Source organism: Homo sapiens, chromosome 8, assembly GCF_000001405.40.
Source record: "Homo sapiens chromosome 8, GRCh38.p14 Primary Assembly".
NCBI lineage: Eukaryota > Metazoa > Chordata > Mammalia > Primates > Hominidae > Homo > Homo sapiens.
Genome location: NC_000008.11, coordinates 104,878,581 through 104,901,361, shown reverse-complemented (window position 1 = coordinate 104,901,361; position 22,781 = coordinate 104,878,581). Strand labels below are relative to the sequence as shown.

The 22,781-nt window shown below is 39.7% G+C and overlaps 2 long non-coding RNA genes across 3 annotated transcripts in view; one reads left to right on the top strand and one right to left on the bottom strand.

Moving 5' to 3' along the window:
• Positions 1-5,649: 5,649 nt before the first annotated feature.
• Positions 5,650-22,781, bottom strand: part of LOC105375694 (uncharacterized) — a 68,330-nt gene continuing 51,198 nt past the window's right edge. Inside the window, exon 3 of the long non-coding RNA XR_928510.2 lies at positions 5,650-5,955. This is a non-coding gene — a long non-coding RNA (uncharacterized LOC105375694). The remainder of the gene's footprint in view (positions 5,956-22,781) is intronic.
• On the top strand, positions 15,318-20,481 carry LOC105375693 (uncharacterized). 2 transcript variants are annotated; one of them, XR_007061043.1, is made up of 2 exons: positions 15,318-15,377; positions 20,362-20,481. It is a non-coding gene; the product is annotated as an uncharacterized LOC105375693 (long non-coding RNA). The 2 variants fall into 2 exon arrangements; XR_007061044.1 differs by lacking the exon at positions 15,318-15,377 and adding an exon at positions 16,305-16,374.

Below are 22,781 nucleotides of genomic sequence, written 5' to 3'. Positions count from 1 at the left end.
GTATACACAAATTTGAATTTACACTAAAGGCACAATAATCTTTAAAGGCCTTATTCTAAATACCACTGAGTCCTCACTTTAAGAAACATCGCAATTAAAAAAAGGAAGAGTTTTTAAAGGAAGTCTCTAGTGAATCCTTCTGCAAAGTGAGAAATCACATTCCAACTTATCTGTTTTGTAAGTTGGGAAACAAGATTCTTGCTTCTGTATCTCTCGTAGGGGAGATGAGATGGAGGGCAAAGAGCATCTCTTGGTTGGCCCAAGAGGAAAGGGTGAGATGAGAAGAGAGAGAGCAGCCCGGGTTCTCTCCCTGGAAAGTTAAATGTCAGCAGGGTTAGGCCTTGCCAATATAAATACAATCACAATGATGGTATAAAAAGACATGCATTTTCACCTCTATTGACTTTTCACGTTCATGGGATAATTATTGTAACATTTTCTTAAAGGGCAAAAAGCTTTTGATGATGAATACATCTCATTACATGGAATTTTACATGTAATCCTTACATGAATCTCATTGTAATTCAATGGATGAATTACGTGTTAATGCTAGCATAACAAGCCTTTAACCTATTTGACTTAATTACAGGCATATCATCAGATTTACTGGGAAAAGATTTCTTACCTGTGCTCTAAAAAGTCTTTTCACTTTTTTTAACCCTTTGGTTAAATCTTTGGAAGTTCCTGTTACAATCTCTTCCTACTACTTGCTATAAACTTTGTCTATAGGAATGGGGAGGACGGAGTGGAGAGCACATCATTTTGCTTTGTGGATGTCTATCTAGGTATTGAGGGTTCCAGTATCTCTGGTCCCTTATGGGCAAAATCTTTTTCACATCAAAGAATGTGGTGAAATAGAATGAACTTTGGAATGGAAGTTGGAAATCTGGCTCCTCTGACAGTCTCTAATAGGGTAGCTTTAGAGAAGCCAATTAACCAGCAGGAACCTCAGATTTCTTTTATGTTAAATGGAGAAAATGTACCCACCTGCCTAGTCACAGGGTTTTGATGAAGACGCCAATGATATAATGTAAGTTTTTGAAATAGTGCTATATAAACAATAAAACATAATACAATTACAGAGTATTGATGATGAAGAAGAGGGAAAAAAAGAGAGGAGGAGAGAAACAGAAAAAAAAAAGGAGAGAGTAGAAGAGAAGAAAGAGGGATAAAGGGAAGAGAAGGAAGAAAGGCCAATGAAAACGACCATATATTCAAAGAGTGAGGGTTCTAGTTCTATATGTGTTATTAATGTAAGTTGCCTTCACATGCACCTCCTCTCAGGGAACTTTGAACATGCAGTGTTGACAGTCGACTTGTGTTCCCTTCAAAATTCCTATGTTGGAGTTCTGACCCCCAGTACCTCAAAATGTGACCTTATTTGGAAACAGGGTCATTGCAGAATCAGTTAAGATGAGGTCATACTGAGTAGATTGAGCTCCTGATCTAATACAACTGGTGTTCTTATAGCAGGGGGAAATTTGGACACACACACACACACACACACACACACACACACACATACACATACACATGGAAAATCCCTCTTTTCTTTTCATATCACATTTGCTAACACCCATAGGATAAAGCACTTCACATGTCTGAGCCCAGAGCCAAGAGACAGACCATCATCATGAGGCCATAAATATATAATTTTATTAGAAAAGATGGAAAAATTGGGACCAATAATTTGATCTACCACAACCACCACACTCAATTACCTCAACACTAGCTTCAGAGGAGAAATGTAAGGGCCACAGGATGTGTGAGCCCCCACAGGACCTCACAAAGGAAGAGAGATTCATGGATGGGGGATCTGAGGTTTTAGATAATAAACAGGTAATGGTGCTGATGCAGAAGCCACTGTTGCTGTGACTCAGGTTCTCTTGGTAGTATCCTAAGAATAAAGTAAACTTAGAACCAAAGGTGTATTTGTAGGATCTATTCATGATTGTGTTGTATCCTGGTGCAATGAAATTGAAGACTCAGAATTATAACCATTTTTTGTGATCAATGATACTGACATGACCAGAGGATACTGGACAGATAAGGGTCCTCAATATCACCACAGGTATCGGGGATGTGACTTACCTGGTCTTTCATTCCATAAATATTTATATGAGCCATGAGAGGTCCTAGCTTTTGAACTTGTAGGAGAAAGTAAGGCATAACCAAGAAATGATGATTCAATGCAGATTCCTACTGAAATGGGGGTTGTGATCCTATAAATGAGAGCACTAAGCAGATCATTTCTGCTTAGTGCCATTTCAGTAAAGTTCCTAAGGAAATGCATTCCAGGCATGGTACATTGGCAATTATTCTGCATCTCTCTTTAAATCATTTGGAGACATGCCATGGCTTCACCCATATTAACTTCAACTGCCTTTGATAGAGTTATTGGTCAATGCTCCCAGGCTGCATTGAGGTGCATGATCTGCAAAATGTCAAAAGAGAAGTCCTCCCACTAATGTAAAACTTTCATTTCACCTGCACACCTTTTGTTACTGTTATAAGTCAAGGCTGTTTCCCAGGCATGAAATAAATGGTGGAAAGGGAGGTCAGGCCAAAATGAACAGCCTGCATTGCAGAACACACTTTATTCAGGATACAGCAGCAGAGCACTTGTTGGCTGAAAGCATATGTGGCATGAGGTGCTAAATTGCGTTAGCCAAGAATCCATAGTGCAGTGCAGTCTGCCTTTCTGGTTTTCATTGTTTTAAAGCAAACAATAGCATTCAGAGCATGACAATATATCCACATACTGGAATCAGTGGTTATGTATCTATAGCTATATATTAGAAATTATTTCAGAGACCAGCAGTACTACAACAAATCAGCACTTTAAGGTGCCTTATTAAGTATGCAATACATGTACTTACAGAAGTAAAGAATGAATAGAATGCCCATGGAACACATAACAAGGATACTTAACTCAGGACGAACAACCAGTCTGAGACTTGAAGGGTAAATAGGAAATAATTAGAAGAAAAACTGTGTTAGTGGGCATGAAGGTAAGAAGTTGCAGAGTTTTCATGATAGGGATTATAATTTGTGCCTTACTACAAAGTCAGGACCCAGTAAATTTTTGCTCAGTGAAATAAAGGGAGATCATAGTTGAGCAGAGTGCAAGCTAAAAAAGAGTGGGAAATGAGGGTGAGACAGAAGTGGAGGCATGCTCTAATGGGCTCAGTTGTAGAATGGTGACTTTGGCTACTCTGTGAAGAGCACTGTAGAGAAGTATGGGAAGCAGGAGCAGAGAAGCCAGACAGGAGGCTACTGCAGCCATTCCATGGCCTTGGAGAGACATAGGACTCAACTAGTGATTGAGTGTGGAATGTGAGGATATCTTGAGGAAGGTTTACACACTGCCATCTTAGATTTAATAAGGATGGAGGCACTGTGGCAGAGTTTTTAAACCTCACCCCAAGTTACAGGAGCATATGGGAAGAAAGGCCAAAGTGTAGCATGTCAGTAGACTCATCCTGAAAGAAGTTCTCTTTGCTGAGTTCCTTTTTTTTAAATTTATTTCCTGTAATTTTTAAGTTCTGGGGTAAATTTGCAGAATGTGAAGGTTTATTACATAGGTAAACATGTGCCATGGTGGTTTGCTGCACCTATCAACCCATCACCTAGGTATTAAGCCCAGCATGCATTAGCATTAGCTCTTTTTCCTAATGCTCTCCCTCCCTCCACCCCCACCCCCACCCCCAACAGGCCCCAGTGTGAGTTGTTGCCCTCCCTGTGTCCATGTGCTCTCACTGTTCAGCTCCCACTTATAAGTGAGAACACGTGGTGTTTGGTTTTCTGTTCCTGCATTAGTTTGCTGAGCATAATGGCTTCCAGCTACATTGATGTCCCTGCAAAGGACATAATTGCATTCCTTTTTATGCCTGCACAGTATCTCATGGTGTACATGTACCACATTTTCTTTATCCAGTCTATCATTGATGGGCATTTGGGTTGATTCCCTGTCTTTGCTATTGTAAATAGTGCTGCAATGAGCATTTGCATGCATGTATCTTTGTAATATAATGATTTCTATTCCTTTGGGTATACACCTAGTAATGGGATTGCTGGGTCAAATGGTATTTCTGGTTCTAGATCTTTGAGGAATTGTCACACTGTCTGTCTTCCACAATTGTTGAACTAATCTAAAGGACAAGGAGGAATTCCTCAGGAAGTGGTAGAGCCCTTGTTTCTTGTGCATCTGCAGGTCAGCAGGGGCAGCTCTGCCTCAGGCGATGGAGGCTGAGGGCCCCTTGCTGAAGGTCTATGCTTCGACTGGAGTGGCTCTCGCTACATGATCTCATTCTGTGGTCTGGGCTAAAGAGGCAGCCCTCATATGGCAGAAGCTCTCCTCGTGGCAATGGCAGAAGCACAAAAGGACAAATGGAAACATGAAAGACTTAGAACTCACATGGAACCAGCACACTATCATTCCTGCCCATATGCCACTGGTCAAGGCAAGTCACATGACCAAGGCCAAATTCAAGGGGCCAAGGGACAGGAGCTACATTCTACCTTTAGTGCAAGTGTATTTATATAGCAAAAGGTACAGATACAGGAGTGGGGGCTAGGGAGTGGTGCAGAATGGGCTCAATAATTCTACCCACCACAAAGAGCATCCAGAGATAATGTATATAAACAAAGAGTGTATGAGATGATAAACCAGAGATCAGTTTGACTCGGCTTTAGAGCACAATGGAGAAAGGAAAGGGAGTGAGAAACTGGGGTGCAGAGCAGTGGGCATGAGTTGCAATGAGGGCTTTTCTCAAGTCATGGAAGGGAAGGAAGTGCTACTGTGCAAAGGAGCTCAGTGTGCCCTGGGAGCAGGTGCAGGCACATTGGCTCTTAGCCAGTCTCAGGGAGTTTTGGGGGAGACTTACCAGACAAAGGGAGTGCCACAGGCCTAGACTGTGGAATTGCAAGCCCTTTACCAAAGCTGGAGCCCATTGACTGAAGGCACATTGTCTTTGTGGCCCTGCAATCCCTAATTTGGCAGACTTTATACTTGAGCAAAGTAACCACGCTCTTCTGTTGTGATTTGGTGGATACTGTGAAAGGTCCTCTGTCCCCTAAAATAACCATTCCACACATCTAGAAAGCCAATGGAGTACAGGATGTGTTGCACTAAAACAGAAAAGAGGGAGGAGTCTGGCTTCCCTGCTGTTTTGAGCACAGCCCAACCCATAGCAGGGGCTCCAGCAGGATTAAACTGTTTGTTCTCCTATCAGCAGGCTAGTTAATCCTCCAAAACCCTTGCCAGAAATATGCACACAGTAAACACTCTGTTCTGTAAGAACTGTCTGTCCTAACAAAAGCCAAAAGAGAACATCTACTCCCTTGTAGATCTGAACACTTCTTAGTTCCCTTTCTCTGCAATTACCAGAAGTGATAATTGGTCTCCAAAAATAATGGCAGATTTCACAAGCCTACTAACTCCCCTCTTTTTTATTATCTGAGTACAAGTACATATTATATATACATATGATTGAGTGAGGCCAACACACTCTAGAGAGTTGCTTGAGGTCACATTGAGTCAGTGGCTCAATGTGGATTAGAAAAGCCTCATGCCCTGTCTGGTCCCCAATCCTTTTTATTTAACCACAGAACAAGTTGCCGTATGAACAAAACATAAAAGGCATTAACCTCTGATAAGTTACATTTATTTTCTTGTGCATTTGGCATTTATTTGGGTTGTTTCAATTTGTGTGTCTCAGTATATAGAGTTTCGCACATTGTCCTCTGATTTCTGGGTCTTTTATTTCTGTTGGCATTTCTCTTATTCTTTAGTTAAAATTAACTGTTTTCCATTTCAATAAAAGTTGTCTTGAGATCTGTCCTTTGCTTTGGTGTCACTGCAATATGAAATTTAGCAGGATTGTTTCCACTCCACACCGAGACAGCAAGTCATTTCAGCATCAGCCATTCTTTGTCAACTGATTTGAATGTTTCCTAGGAGGACAAAATAATTTTAACAGTGATTTCACATCTTTTCTCTGGCCATTTCTGTCCCTGGTGAAAGGCTTTGGCCTTTAAATAGGCCCTAACATTTTCCCCCATTCACAATGTAGTTGGTGTCAGTTTAAGTCTTTGCTGCATTTCATGTCTGTGCATGCCTGCAGCTACTTTTCTTTTGAATCAGAGCTGTTGACTTCAGTGGGACAGCACCACAGGCTGGACATAGTGGTCCCAGAGCCATCAGGAGGCTCCTTTCTGAAAACAACAGAAATGAACCCCAGAAAATAAAAGGCTTCACTTGATACAGTCTAAGCAGCCCATATGTACCTGCTTTGCCTAACTGCCGAGCTATGTGGTGAGATTCACAGATTGCCTAAATACAAATGAGCATAAAAATGAGCCCAATTCCCTTTGCCACAGCATTTTTTCCAAAAGTCTAAAATTCACGTGAGAAATATGAACAGTTCCCTATTTCTGAAGATTACTATTAAATGATTACGTCAAGCTGGATAAAACAAACAGCATCACAACAATATCTAATAATTTGTTATATCATAAAATAGCCAGGTTTCTAAATTTGAAAGAAAATCATTATGTGTAACTGGGATGCCATAGACAGCTTCATGACCATCCACATCTAAGGACATTCTTGCCTGCCACGCTAGCATGGCTGGCACTAAAATGAGGCAGTCATCTCAAGAGTGAAATCTAAGGGGTGCCAAAAACTCAGTAGTCAAGATAAATATTTTAATGCAATATTTAAAAAACAAAATTAGTGCAAAAAATTCATGATAAAAAAATTAAAATCAATCAATCAAAGTGGATTGATTGTAAAGTTACTGCCCTTCAGAGGGGTACAAAATCATAGGAAGGACAGAAAGAAAAAGGTCATCAGTTTGAAATGTCTAGTTGTTGGGGGCACATTCGCTATTTTTCAAGGACTTTGAAGAGAAAGAGATAAATTCATGATTATTCAGTGTTGTGTGTTATGATATGTACCTTACATTAAATGAGACTGGGAAATTGGGGAAGAAGAGAAAGTCTATAGGAAAAGGAAAAAGAAGTCTAAGAACTACTCGGGTGGTCATTCATCTTGATCTGTTCCCTCTACTTCGGGCCCCCTACCTTGAAGGGGAGATGACATTCTCTGGCTTCCAGCCATGCCCTGCCATCAGCCTCATTCCTTTATTCATCAGTCTCCTACCCTGGCATTTATCAACATGTCCATGCCATAGCTCAGCACTCACTGAAAGCCTGGCTTTCCAGACCAAGAAGATGTGGAAAGTGACAGCAATAGCTCAGGTCATTAGGCAAAAATGCTTGGCTAAAATTTTCCTGAGAACCATCCAATAGGTTACATTAACCATTAAAATTCTATTTGGAGATAGTGGAGAAAAGAATGTCAGTTACGAAAAGATCAGGTGTTATAATGTGTGCTATATGACATTAAAGTGTGAAGTGTTATCCATCACAGTCATGAAATGGGTAAAGTCCACACACAGAGTACCGCTTAGGAAGAGGAAGTCCCTGAGCAGAGGACAAGCATGTGTCCGTGTAGGGCAAGATGAGACCACCATCTATGTGCTGCTTGATATTTTATTAATTTTCACTGTTGAGAACTTCAGATATTTTCATTATATTTTACTGAGCTTATGTCTTCAGGCTTTTCAAGTAAAGGGCAAAATTTTAAAAAATTAAATCATCTCCATCAGAAGTGTTCATTACCATGAATATGTTTAAAAATAGGGTGCTGAAGTTATCACATAGATCTCCCAAACTGAAATGAGCTAAAGAGAAAATATATCATTGAGAAAGAGAGTCCCTGGATAAACAAGTCAGATCAAGAAGGACAAGGTCCATATCACATCCATCTGACTGCTTTATATCTATTCAGGCAGACCCACGGGGTAGATTTATAAAAGCCCAGCATGTTCATTCCTTCATTCACTCAACAAATGTGAATCGAGGGCCTACTATGTGTCAAGCACTGAACCAGATCCTGAGAAAAACAGACTCAGTCCCCGCTCTGATGGAGCTTAAGGTCCTGCACAGAAGACACTCTTTAAGAGAATCATATCCTAAATAAGGGATCCCAAATAAAGGATATGTGTTGTTCTACCTTTATCCTAAATAAAGGTAGGAGGACACATAACTGGGGGACTAGACCTAATCTAGGTTTCAAGGAAGAATCCTATGAAAAAGTGAGGTCTACCTTCCAACTTAGACAGAAAAGTTAAGCTAATTTGGTGAAAGAATGCCTACATGGGAATAAGGGAAGCAAACTGAAAAGCAAAATTAATGAATCAGAGAATGAGCAGGAGAGGTAAGCAGGTGAGGATTTCATATAGGAAGTAGAACTTTCAGGGATATGAGAAGAGGCAGACAAGTGCAAGTCTAGAAAGACGTGGCTAAGAAATCTGAGAAACAGTTGCCAGCAGCTTCGGCCTGGAGTCTGGGAGGGTGAATGGGAAGACGAACTTAAAGGGAAGACTGTAAAGCCCACTTCAACCACAGAGTAGGAGTTTCCAGAAAGGTCCATGAAACTTCTGAGTGTACGACAACCCCATGTCTGAACCCCATGACCACTTGAGAATCTCAAATCAGATCCTGTCATTGGCAATGTTTAACCCAGGACCATGAAGGGAAGAGGACTCTGGAAATCCTTGCTCCCAGCCTTAGGCAGAGGTGTAGTGGTGAGAACCTCAAAGCAGGATCACACCATTTGCTGCTTGCTATCCAGCTCAGAATGTGAGTTTTAATCCTAAGATCCATAAGAAGTGCTTGTAGGGGATAGCATAATTGGAAGTTCATTTTCACCAATTTCGTCTAGCCATGCTCCGTAGCACTGATTGGAAGGCAGCCAGGGAGAAGCAAAAATACAGATTAGAAGGCTGTGGTAAAGCAAGAGGTGAAAAAAAGTTGGACTAGGGTAGAGAGATTGAGAGATGTAAGAAGACTAAGATGTAAAAATGTAAAACAGTACTTTCTTCTGAATTGAATTTAGGTGGTAAAGATAAGAAAGGATACAACCAATAGCTGTGCCACATGGTTTTCAGTGCTGGTGCAATTCTCCTCCAGTCTTTAGATTCAGAGACAATCAGGATTGCAAGGCCTTCAGGTCAACTCATCTAACTCCCTCCCTAGATCTGACTGATTGCTGTCTTTATCCAACACCACATTGATTAGGTGAAGGGGGCATGCATGCTTATTTCAAGAATTCATTTTAGTCCACATAATTTTCATGTCTTTGCATGCAAATGTCACTGTACCAGCATGAATGCAGGAAGTAGAGTGCAGACATTTTCTCTTTTACTGCAGATCAGTTGTAGAGAAAGCAGCACACTAAACAAGAACTAGGACGAGCCAAGTCTAGCTTTCAGCGAAGACAGGTACCCACCTCCTGCAGCTGTGTCTGGATCAGTCGTCAGAGGATCAAGTTTAGAGATGAGTAAGAGTGGAGCTTAAAGGGGATTTGAAGGTGATGAGAAGAAACTCTATCTGTATGTGGATGGAGAAAGAGATACCGCAGGCAGCGAAGCCACTGCTCCTCACCTTCTCGTTTATCTGTCTCCAAAGCTCCATAGATTGGCAGGAGCTGCCTCGCTTTGAGAGGAGCGGCTAAGATAAGTTAATTATGTGTTTGTATTTGATACCATTTGTTAGAAAAATGTCCACTTTTGACCGTTCAGTAATGTAGCTATTGTAAATGAGAAACTCTTACAAGATAATACTTGTTCTAAGTAAATTTGAGAGTAGACTTTCAAGTTTATAAAACTTTATCAAATCAGTTAGAATCTAATTTCTTCCTGAAATCTTGAACTTGAGGATGTTATGAATCATGTGTGAGATGGTGAAACCTCCTGGCAAAATACAACATTGCAGTCTCATGTACTCATAGGGAAATAATGACCTAGTCGGGGTTTTAGATAAGTAAAGCAAGAAAGAATGCAATACAGTTTTGCCGGGTTTGAATGTAAAATCAAAGGATCACCAGAAAGAAGAAAAATATTTACGAGTCCTCCTGACCCAAGAAGAACATACGACGGAGGGAATGACACCTAGCACTCAGAAGAAAGGATATCCTCAAGCTAAGAAAATATCTTAAGGAAAAAGCAAACTTCTAGTTTAAAACCTTGTTCAGCCAATATCCAGTGATGTACTATGAGGCCCAGTAGCTCCTGAATTGGCCATCTTAACCACTTTTACCCCCAAATACTTCAAATCTCCATTGGTAAATTTTCCTTCAAAGGAATTTATTTTTAATTGCTTAGCCATTTCAGTCAGAAATACCATTCACCTTCAAGAAATATGTTTTATAAAAAGCTTTGCTGTAAGACATATAATTGCATTTTACTAAACATGTCTTAGATACATGTTTGTTCTTATGAAAAGGTCTGAATAATTAACCTTATCTAAAATACCTTGGAACTATAAAACCATTATTCCAACTTTAAAATAAAAATGTAATGATATGCAGTTACAAAAATTGATTCTTCATCACCGTCATTCAGAAATGCAATGCCCCTCTTCTTATAGACACATATATAGTTGTCAACAAATGAAGCATGAAGTATTCAATAAAATTACTTTCAAATATAAAATAACACTGTATTTTGAAAAATTAATTTTATTTCCCATACAGAAAGAAAATTTTCAAAAATTGTAACGTTATTCAAACTCAAAAGGACCAACACTGAAGATTTTAGAAAAAGATTAGTGGCAGCATCTAAGACAGCAATTTTCAGTTCATGAATGACATAAAACCATTTTACAGGGACTTGTTTATATCCTGAGTGGCATCATGATGGTTTTTATCATATTGAATGGTAATGTATTAATGCCCCAGAGAGGCCTGAGATTATTAACCCCCATAAACCTCTTAACAGCACCCCCAAGTCACATTCCTGTTGCATTTCTAATGTTGCGTTGTATCAAAAACAGCATAATAGTAACAACCTTTTAAGTTTTTGTAAAGATTAAATGAGATAATGCATATAAAGCACTTAACACAATGCCTAACATAAAGCTCACGCTCAATAAACAATCGCAATTATTATAGTCTAACCTTCTTGCCAGCCAGAGAAATTCCATGAGCTGGAGCATGAGTACAATTTTTCTATTGGGGGTTGAAGTTATTTCAATAATATATACCCTGTCATCTTCATCTAATGACAATAAAAGAGTGTCAACACCAGATCAGCTAGTTATTCTTTGTGGGTGAATTTCAGGGGGACCTAAGTCATACACATGTCCCAAATCTGAAAGAATTTAGTAAAATGCCTCCAGGTCTTAAAACTTCAAATAAATACTTAAAAGTCAACAATAATCTGTGCTCTCTGTATGAGTTGGGAATAGAATCAAAAGATAGTGGTTTCTATTCTTAATTTACATAGTAATTCATATGGGACCATGAGACTCGCCAGCAGATTTCTCAATGAATATGTGTTTTCATCTGAAAAATTGGGATATTCATAATATTATCTCATGAACAAACTTCTGCAGAGGGCTACAAGGCTAAGGAATCCAACTAACTGTGGTTTTCTAATCTTGCATCTTCCTCCTCCTTTCTAGAAGTTAACATGCCCGTCACCACAATCCAGTGACCAAAATAAGCAACAATTTTGGCTCCCGATAACAAAAAGATACATAAATAAAAGTGGTTTAAATAGTAAAGGCACTATATTGTTTATGTACCAGAAAAATCCTGCAATACAGCAGCTTCAGGCCTGTTGTGGTCAGGGTTCTAGCTCTGCTTCCACACAAACACATTGTCTCTCTCCCCTCCTTCCTAGTCATCCTTCATCCCAGGCTGGCTTCCGCCATGGGACACCATATCCAGATGTTAAGCCCACACTTCACTTTTTCCAAGAAATAGGACGTTTTTCCCTTACCACCCAACACAAGTTCAGGGCTTCACTTTGACTGAGTCACCTTCTGTCCTGTGCCCATCCTTGAAACCAATATTTATGGTCGGGAAATGAAATTATGCTGATTTACTCAGGGGGTGGAAGCAGAATGACTGCTACCCACAAAAGGATGCTACACAGGGAAAAAGGGGTGGATGGTGAGACAACCAAAAGCTGCACCATCTGTTAGATTCACCACAGAGGCTAGAAAGTAGCTCCAAGAAAATTACAGAGATTCTTCTGTAAGCCAGCTCTGTCGTATTTACCATCTCTGAGATCTGCTCCAGTCCCAGATGGCCAAAGAACAATCTGAAAGATATATTTCATTCTCTGCTGAAAATTGGCACTCCTCTAACAACAGATTATTGTCCCAGGACCAAGATTATGTATTGCCTCTATTTCCTCTTCATTTGAGAGTCCTTCTTCTCAAAGACTCCTTGGTCCTTCATACAAATAGGCTCCTGACAAATCCCTCCTAAACTGCTGGGCATGTGGCTCAAATTAGTGTCTACCACATCTGCTGTACATTTATACTAAAACCTTACATGGAGGTAAATAATTTTATAAGAACTAATTGGGATTCAAGTCCCCAGGGTGAAGTCAATGAATAAGAAAGCGTAAGTAGAAATCATAGAAATTCTTCCCTAGATGGATTGCAACACACAGGGGCATGTGTGTTCATCTTCTTAAAAGAGGGTGTTGTAGGAAATGCTGTGAGGGTGTCATTTTGCACTTTGTCTGACCCTCATTTTTAGATGGGAAGAAACAACCCAAAGACCTTCAGGTCCTAAAATTTTCTCAAGAGTTTTCACAAGTGATTCAGAACTTGAAGGAAATATTTTAGCACGTTTAGATCATTTCCAAAAGAATTGTTTTCCTTTGTGAAGTTTAACTGAAAAGGTAATGAGCACACTTCTTCATGTATTTAAAGTGTCAAAAATACCATCTTGCTATTCATCTTCAAAGGAGTAAATGCAGATGACCTATCAAAAAGAAAGATGAACACCAAAAATACAGCTTATGGGAAATGGATGGGAAAAACATTCAAACTTTCTCAGGCCACCCAAGTTATTCTATCAATTTAACAGAACTATGCATCTCTCTCTGTGTGTATGTGTGTTTATGTGTTTGGAGAATTTTGAGTTTTCTATAAAGATTGTGTACCTTTTTTGAGCTACAGGTCCCTTTGACTCTCTGGTGAAATCTACAGAACCCACCTCAGAAAAAACAGGATTACAAAGGAAATCAAGTATATTATAACACAGTTTTCAAAATAAAACCATATAATATAGTAATATATGTGCTTGTATTAATTCATTCAGCAATAAGATCTAGAAGCAGGTCCACTAACTACTACAATTTTGAAGGAATTATGACTGTAAATAATATTCTGAGGTACCTGAAAAATTTTAATGTGATACAGAAACATCTGTGATATCGATAACAAAATCATAGGCAGTGCTGACATTACAATGGCCTATTGCACTGCTGAGGTGACACAGTTGAGCTACTAACCCCGGGCAATCTGGCTGTAAAGTCACTCTCAACAACATTGCTATTCTATGTAGCACAGATCCATGAGACAAGTTAGCTCAAACCCTTCATTTTGCAAGTAATGTAATTAAGGTTCAGAGAGCATGGGTAACCTGCATCCACAACTACAGTTAAGAAATCTTTTCTTTGGTTTTGATCTTGTGGTCCTTGAATGTATGGAATTGGACTAACCACAATCATTGCTTCAGGACCTACCATCATTACTGTCTAGGCATGGTCCTTCTTGCTTTAATTAACTAAGTGATTTAAATAAAATAATGAATATTCATAAACTCATGACTCAACCCAAGGACTCCACATTAATAATAATTTATATTCACCTCTCCTATGCAATTATTTTTCCCATGATAGCCAAAATGTTTATGGTGCTTTTACACACACACACACACACACACACACTTTTTTTTTAAAGTCACAATACATGCATTCTTAAACAATGTTGTTTAGTTTTACTTGAGGTTGAATTTTATCATAAAATAGATAATCTGGAGCTTATTTTTCATATTCACCATTGCATTACTGGGATTCATCCATATTGTTGCATGTATCTGTAGTTCAATTATTGGTTAGAAAACACACACATGCACACATACACACACACACACACACACACACACACACAGAGTCCAGCTCTATGATGTTTACAGGAAATAGATTTGAACCCCAATCTCCTAACTGAAACACCAGCACTTGCTTCATTACCCTAAGATTGCCACTTTTGCCCTCCAAGCATCCCTTCCTCTTCTGAGTGAAATGTTTATTCAGAGGAAGCTCTTCCCAGGAGTCCTGAATCACAACAGTAAGTGGCTGCCAACTCAACACTGGGGAACACTGGCTCGTTATCTGAAACATGTAAATAAATTGGCACTGATGGAGAAAAAAGAAAAGCCAGCTCACAAAGGCATGCAGAGGCCGGGGGTATGAGTCTATCTGGGTTTGAAAGGTAGCTCAAAGTCACAATTGATTGGGCCATGCAAAGTGAGAGGTGAGAAAGACCCTCATATTGCTTCACTTGGGCTAAGACCAAAGCCAAGCATAGCTAAGACCAAAGCCAAGCAAAGCCAAGCATGGCTGAGACCTTTGGGGGCAGGACTCAGTGCCATGTTGCTATGGCGATTCTTCCACCAGCTCAGAAGCTTCCCTTGCTCTCTAGCAAAGCCCAGCCTCCAAGATGAAAGGGAGTAGGAGAGGTGGGGAAAGAATAGATAGGGCTGCTGAAGCCAAGGCCAGAAGAATTCTACTATGGGAAGACCATGAGATAAAATCCCCTCTGCCATGTGTCTGTATGTGTGTGTGTCTGTGCACATGTGTGCATATGCCCACACTGGGGAGGGAAGGCTAAAGAGAGGATTTTCTCTGCTATACGCCCACCATGGGAGCAGAGCTTTAACTAATTCATTCTAAACCTCAACGTCTTCCCAAATGATAATAACTAATTCAGGTAACTCTATGTTGTAGGATTACTCTTTTACTGCACTGTGAACAGATATCCCTCCATAACAAACAAACACACATGCACACACACTACATACACCCTTCTGCCATCTTTTCTAAACAAACAACAGATTGCGTTGCTGCTGTTCAGAATATTATGCCAGGAAAACAGGGAGAAGTTTTGTTTTGTTTTTTTTTTTTTAAAAAACTTCTTCATCAAGATTCAGACCAAATGTATGTGCCTACCAAGTGATATACTGCACAATTCTAAACACTTCATAAATGCTCATTGGTGCCCATGCCTGCAAAGATTCAGGGAAACTGTTGCCCAGCCCTTCTTTCTGGGGAAGGGCCATATGTGAAAATGAGTCATATTTGCCATCTGCACAGTACATTCCAGAATGCTCAGCAAGCATTCTGAGGTCACTCATAGTCCCCATTTTACAGATGGACATTCAGAGACAGAAAGAGAGGTGACATGACGCCTGTCCCCATTGCTCCTCTCAGGATCCACAGAAATTAGTAAGCTCCATTTTTATTCATTGAAATGATTTTTTTAAAGCAACAACTTTTGCCAGATCGCAGATGCAGAGTTCAGAGCATGATCATTTTTCACCAGGAAACATGGCATCTACAATGACTGCCACCAAGTGTAAAATGAAGAACATATTTCTTCCTCCTTCCTGGGGTAACTTGACTTGAAAGTTACGATGACAGATACTCAGAGGCCACTACACCCACCAATAATAATTCTGGGTAAGCCACTCGGAAGAACTAAGTGCCTGTTGTATTGTGGCATCATTATGATGGTATTTTTGAAGTGAAAAAGATTAAGATGCTTAAAATCCAATAATTTTTTCCCAAGTGAAAATTTACAGTCATAGCAAAAAAAAAAAAATTAAAAATAGAAAGTCTGCCTATTCAGCAACCCTAATGGCGCTGCTAGAATATGTCATTATTCTACATAAGACCCCAAGCAAATTACTTTAATCTTCCCAAGCCTCATTTTTCTCATCTGTAAAATGATGCTATAAATAGTATTAGCCTCTCAACCCAAGTGATTTGATGATTAAATGATTCATTGTGTATGTAAAAAATTTGACACAGTGCCTAGCATCTAGTAAATGCTCAGTAAATGTTAGAATTCTCATACTGTGCCAAGTTCAAATGCATTACTTGAACTGGCAAATGATGACCATTCCCAGTGAATAAAGGAATAAAGAATTCCTGCTTTGTGAATTATAGACAGGCTTTAGCAAAACACTGGTCGTTGATAAACACATCTTTAAATTATTGTTGAGCATCCATTATTTATAATTTACATGAAAAGAGGGCCACTGTGCAATTTCTGAAATCATGACAGTACTTTCTGCCCCGAGGTGAACCCTGCTGTAGTACGTAGGTGAGCTGAAGTGGAGAAACCATATGCAGGGAAGGATCCAGGTTGTTCCAGGGCATAGATTCCAACTCTGGAGCATGGATGTGGGCAGCTGGGCAAGTTGCATCAGCCTGGCAGCAGGTAAGCCTGGAGCAGCTCCTTTGAATAAAGGTTTCCAGCTGACTGCACATCTAAGTGGCAGGGTCAGGAATGGCCTTAGGTGCTGGGAGGCAAAGATGTATCCACAATCTGAGAAGAGCCTTTACTCCATGGATGTAAAAAGAAGAGGGCTCACCTCCATCAGTCTCTTGAGCTTCAGACACATATGCTGGGAAGGAGAACCCCCTAAAGCTGTCACCTTTGAATAGCAGAGAATGGCTGGTTATTACAGAGTTTCATAACTCAGTAGATGTGTTTGTTCATAAGGCTTCAGATAAATTTGAGTTCTCCCTATAACCAACCTAAGAGATGAATTGCTATTCATCTCAATTAGCAATTGATAAACATAATGAATTAAATTAGTTTGTGGCCAGTGTCATCATGGAATCCTAGACGTGCAAGACTCTGAAGAGAATGTAAACATCACCCAATTTACCATCTTCATGGTGTAAAGAAAGTGCAGTCAAAGGAGATATGTTGACTGGCCCAAGCCCTCACAATTAGCCACAGCAGATGAGAATGCAGCGATTCAGTGCTTTACAATTTTTTGAGAAACTGTCTGCCATTACCACCATCCTTACCTCAGGACCATGACTCAAATATTCTATCAGTATAACCATAAAGAACACTCAATTGACTCACTAGTTGTAGGAAATCTCGGGCCACAGTTTGAATAGCCTCTTCCTTTCTGGAAACCTCAAAGTGCCTGCTCCCTTGCAACCAAACAAGGACAGCCAAATATACTTAAAGGCCAATCATAAGACTGCCCCATGCCCCTTTCAAAAATCTCACCTTAATAGAATGTGCTTTTTTTTCCTATAAAACTCATTTTCCTTTCAAATCCTCCTTGAACCTCTGAAGGAGCAAAAGGGACCATAGATATTTCCCTTGCTATAGCAAACATATGAATAAACAGCATTGGCTAATTTGATTTCTAACTTAGTTTTGGTTTGGGCATAGAACTTGAATATAAATGTGTAGTTTAAAAAACGCTTCCCATTGAACAACGTTTTTTGAAATATAGAATTTTAGAATTTAGTAGCACCAGAACACCTTAATAGCAATCCCTACATGAAACTTTTGAATTGAGGCAGTACAAAACTCATGCATGATTCAGACTCTTTCTTCCTCTGTAAAAGCTATCAACAATATTCCAGATGATAAGTTCTTTATCATCCTGTGTCTTGAGTCACTGATGGTACAGAGATCTAAATTGATCTATGTTGTATACGTAGTATGAGTGAGATATAAACTTGTGTGTGTCAAACTATAGAAATTTGGAGGGTTTGTTGTTACAGCGCTGTAACCTACCCCATCCTGACTAATCCACCTAGTAAAGTCTTACATTGAACAAGTACACAAGAGATTTATTCACTTAAATGTATTGGAAAAAATTGATAAAACACAGTTAATTTTTCTGACTTATGGCCCACATCTTCTGAATTTTAGGAAACTTTAGTTCATGCATAGAGACTAAAAGAAACATAAGAGAGACATAGACCCAAAAAACTGTTAATACAAAATCAACCTCTGTTAAATGTTGTAATGGAAAAATAACTAAAGGGCTCTGGGAGCAGAATGAGGTTAGATTAACTCTGCTTTGCAGATCTGAGAAAGACCCAAGGAGGATATATCATTAAATTATTAAATCTATGCCTAAAGAACTTCTCTGGGTGGTGATGAGAAGCAACAGAAAGGAAAGAATATGATTAAAAGCCCACCCTGCAGTTCTCTTGGTTTATTGAGCTACAATAATAATTACATAAGAGCCTACAATAGTCCCCTGTGGTTTTGACAACAGATAAAATCAAAAGATCATTTTCTAGCTGCTGAATGATCTCACTAGAAGTCTGCTTGAGGAAGATGATACTTCATGTAGGTAGCTCATGTAGAGATTGCTGTTAAAGTGTTCTGGAGCTGCTACATTTTAAAGTCTATATTTTTTAAATGTTATTTAATGAGCAGGGGCTTTTCTTATAATAACTTCCTATTCAAATTCTTCTCTGTCAAAAAGAAAAGTAAGTTAGAGATCAAATTAGCAGAGGCTGTTTGGACATACGCTTGCTATAGTGAAGGAAACATCTACCAACACTTTAACTTACATTTCATCACGTTCACCAATTCTAGACTTATATCATGATCCTTCCCAAGAGGGTTCTGTCAAGGTGGGATTCTCCCTTACGTGGTAAGCAATGAACTCCGCTTTGTCTTATAAACAGGTTGTTTTGGTGACGTTTTAGGGAGCCAGCATTCAACAATCACCACTTTTCCAGTCCCTAATATTAGTTTACTCAGTTACCACCTATAACCTGACCACCAAACCAACATGATACAACTTTGTTCTGCATCACCCCATCTCAGTTACCAATTTCCAAGTTAGTCAAGACAGACAATTGGGCCAGGCGCGGTGGCTCACACCTGTAATCCCACCACTCTGGGAGCCTGAGGCAGGTGGATCACCTGAGGTCAGGAGTTCGAGACCAGCCTGGCCAACATGGTGAAAGCCTGGTCTCTACTAAAAATACAAAAAATTAACCACACATGGTGGTGGACTCCTGTGATTCCAGCTACTCGGGGAGACTGAGGCAGGAGAATTGCAACCCAGGAGGCAGAGGAGCCGAAATTGAGCCATTGCACTCCAGCCTGGGCAGCAGGAGAGAAACTCAGTCTCAAAAAAAAAAAAAAAAAAAAAAAAAAAAAAAAAAAAAAAAAAGGACTACTTGTACTGTGATAACAAATAACCATAAAATCTCAGTGGCTCAATACAACAAAAGTAGATTTTTTTGCTTGGATTACATACGCAACATGAGTCAAAATAGGGCCATGCTTCATAGACTGACAGAAGCACCACCATCTGGGACATTATCATCCACCAAGGTAGAAGAAAGAGAAACCACAGGATCATTCATAGGTTTTTTGCTGCCTCAGCTTAGCACTGACAAGTATTTCATTGGTCAGAACTATCCAGATGGTCCACCTAACTTCATGGGGCCAGGGAATACGGGAAGCGTATTTGACGAGAATTATTGTCCCTGACACACTAATGTTGTGTAAAATTTTCAAAATAAGAAAAGTGAAGATACTTCCAGCAAGGGGCTTCAAATCTGGTGAAACAAAAACACTATAAAAACACAAGATCCATAATATATACCCTCCTGAAGTCACTTGCATGTGGAGCTGCCTCAAAGCCAAGACATGATAATTTGCAAAGAACTATCAGCAGACAGGCTGGTTCTAGACCCCACCCCCAGACCTTGCTCCAATCTAGAGAAGAGTCTAAATTGTTTGTATGTGCTCTGAACTGCTCCCCTCCTTTACCCACTCCAATGTTCCCTTGATCAGATTTAAACTGGGAACATTTGGGAACTTAAAAATGACCTTCTAACTGAAGGACTCAGCAGTTCCAGGTAATGGTATAACTAAGTTTAGCCTACCTCAAAGTCAACAGGAATAAAGTGACTTGAAAAATCATAAAATCACCCCCAGACACTGGTAGATGAGTAAGGTCACCACCGCCACATTGGAAGCTCTATTTAGTTTGGGCATCACTGCAATCCCCAATTCACTCCTGGGGTGGGTCATTTGGCTGATGGAAATCTAGCTCCTCCATGGGGCTCTGCATTCAGAATCCTATTTGAGTGCTTTAGAGCCTAGCCTTGGATCTAATCAAGTCCAATAATTCGCACGTCTGTTCTCATTCATTTGAATGGTGAGATGTCTGTTGGAATTAATATGATCCTGAGTCTCTGGATGTCAAAGCCCCAATAAATTGAGATAAACCACCCCCAAAAGACAGAGTAAGTGATAGCCCTTCTCCAGGAAGCCCCTCTTGAGCAAGAGTGATGCCATGTTGACCCCATAAAGCTCTCTCCACAGTACTGTATCTATTCATGTGTCTATTCCCAATCTAAGAATAGCTACAAGCAAAACAAAACAAACACCCAGAATTGAAATGCATTTCTCTGCCAGGAGGACAGACTGCAGAGCCGCAGGTGCTCAGGAACATGAGACAGCCCTCTCCAGACCAGCCAAGCCATGGAAAATAACCACCATGTTTGCATGTTTAAAAAATAAATTATTTAAAATGTACACTTCTCCCACTTACTTCACATTTCATTTTGTCTTTACTCCCATCCCCCCAAAGGTAAGCCATGCTGGTGGTTCTTGCAATTATTTCAACCACCTGAAAAGGCACTAACTTCATCTGTGGAATCAGCCTGTCATGCTCTATGTATCTATTCAGTATGATGTGAAATCCCTTTTCTTTGAACTGTACAAATGAAATCAGATAGAAGAACAAGGGCTTATACCTCATGTAGGGAGTGACTAGGGGAGCCCCACAGAGAGGCAAATTCAATTGCATCAGGATAGAACACATCTAAGAGGGAAGAAGAAGGTGAGGAATTTTGCAGAGAAAGGCCCTGGAATCTTGGTTGTTCTGTAGCTGAGGCCTTGACTATCAACTTCAGAGGATAGGGAGGTAGTAGGAGAAACAGTATTCAGAGTCTGAGCTGATGACAAGTGACAAAAGGGTATCCAAAGCATGAATCCAGTAGAAGGACTTTTTAGAAACCCTGTTTGCATTGGTTAAGAATACCCTGAAAGAGAATGGTCTTTACCAACATAGAGAAGTAACACCCAGCAGTAAATTGCTGAAATGGTGCTAGGATGAGGGTGGAAGAAACCTTAATTCAGGTCTTAAAATAATAGAATCTTAGAATGAGGTCATTGATTCCATCTGTTAATTTTATAAAGAAACTGAGGCTCAAAAAGATGGTGTGAGTGGCCCAAAGCCAAAGCCACAGAGTTCCTTAGGGCACTGCTTTGCAAACAGGTTTTAGGTGAATTCTCACAAACTTCCATTTTAAAATGAAAGCTAAAAGCATATATCATTGTTCAGTTATCATAGTTGGAGTTCTCCCAGAAGTAGACCCTAAGACAAAGACTAGTTTGCAAGTTTGGGAGGTATGGGAAATACTGGTAGGATACTGGGGAAATAAAAGTGAGATGGCCAGAGTGCTAATAAAGCAGTAAGACAAGAAATGGTGTGTTAAGCAAGTCATCCCTCTGGGAACCTGGAGATTATTCAGCTGATCTTCTGGGATCAGTTGGAAAAGTCTGGGAGATGTAACAGAACATGTAGTTTGGAGTTCTACTTGTGGAAAGAGGGAGCCAGGGTCTTTATCCATCAATTCCTATCTATCATTGGTTGAGAGGGCTGTGCCTAAAAAGAAATAATTTTCTGGCCCTTTCGGCCTTGTCTGCAAGTGAGTTGAACAGAGTTCCATAGCTTTGGAAAAAGTCCTCAGACAAAAAGAAAATTAGCAGAGTGCATAGAAATGAAAAGGTCTGAAGGATACATATGAGGCAATAATGTGTGGTTTTCTGGAGATCCACTATATATTTAGCTATATTTCTGCTCATCTCTCAATATGGCTTTGTGTCCCTACCCAAATCTCATCTTGAATTGTAATTCCATAATCCCTACATGCCATGGGAGGGACCCAGTAGGAGGTAATTGAATCACAGAGGTGTTCCACCACCTATGTTGTTCTTATGATAATGAGTGAGTTCTCATGAGATCTGATGGTTTTATAAAGGGCTTTCCCCTTCACTTGGCACTGATTCTCTCTCCTGCCGCACTGTGAAGGAGGTAGGTGCCTTCTGCCGTGATTGTAAGTTTGCTGAGGCCTCCCCAGCCATTCAGAACTGTGAGTCAGTTAAACCTCATTGCTTTATAAACTACCCAGTCTTGGGTAAGTCCTTATAGTGGTGTGAGAACGGACTAATACACCTCTAGTCCATAGATAATTAAGAGGTGAACACACCCACTTTTCTCCTGTTCATCATGTGACACATTTCCTTACAAGTATAATAGGGTTGGCATGTGCTAAAAAGCTGCCTCAATAACCCAGTTTTGCCCTTGATCCATTTTTGCAAATTTCATACCATAAATGCTACATCACTGATTTGACATACACATAATGTACTTTATAGCCTGAACTACCTGTTTATCAACATACTATTACAATACACAGCACAGATACACAAGTATGTTGTTCATTTTGTTAGCTTCCAAATTGGTATATGTATGTCTCAAATTTCTAAATATTATAGCATTTTAAATTTAATGAACCATGAGAAGGTTGCTTTGATACCTATAATTCAGCTCATGGAATTTGGAAATATGACCTAATCCCCAGTGTCTTTGTTAATATATCAAAGAGGCATAGTAGATAGGCATATGTCACATCACCCTTGCAAATAAGCAAGTACATCTTACCAAACTTGAAGACTGTGTCTCAAATAAAACTGTATGCTTTCAGCTGATGCCGCCTGAAAAACTGTTTGGAAAGTTGATTTTTAGAATAGTTAAATTTAGAGTCATT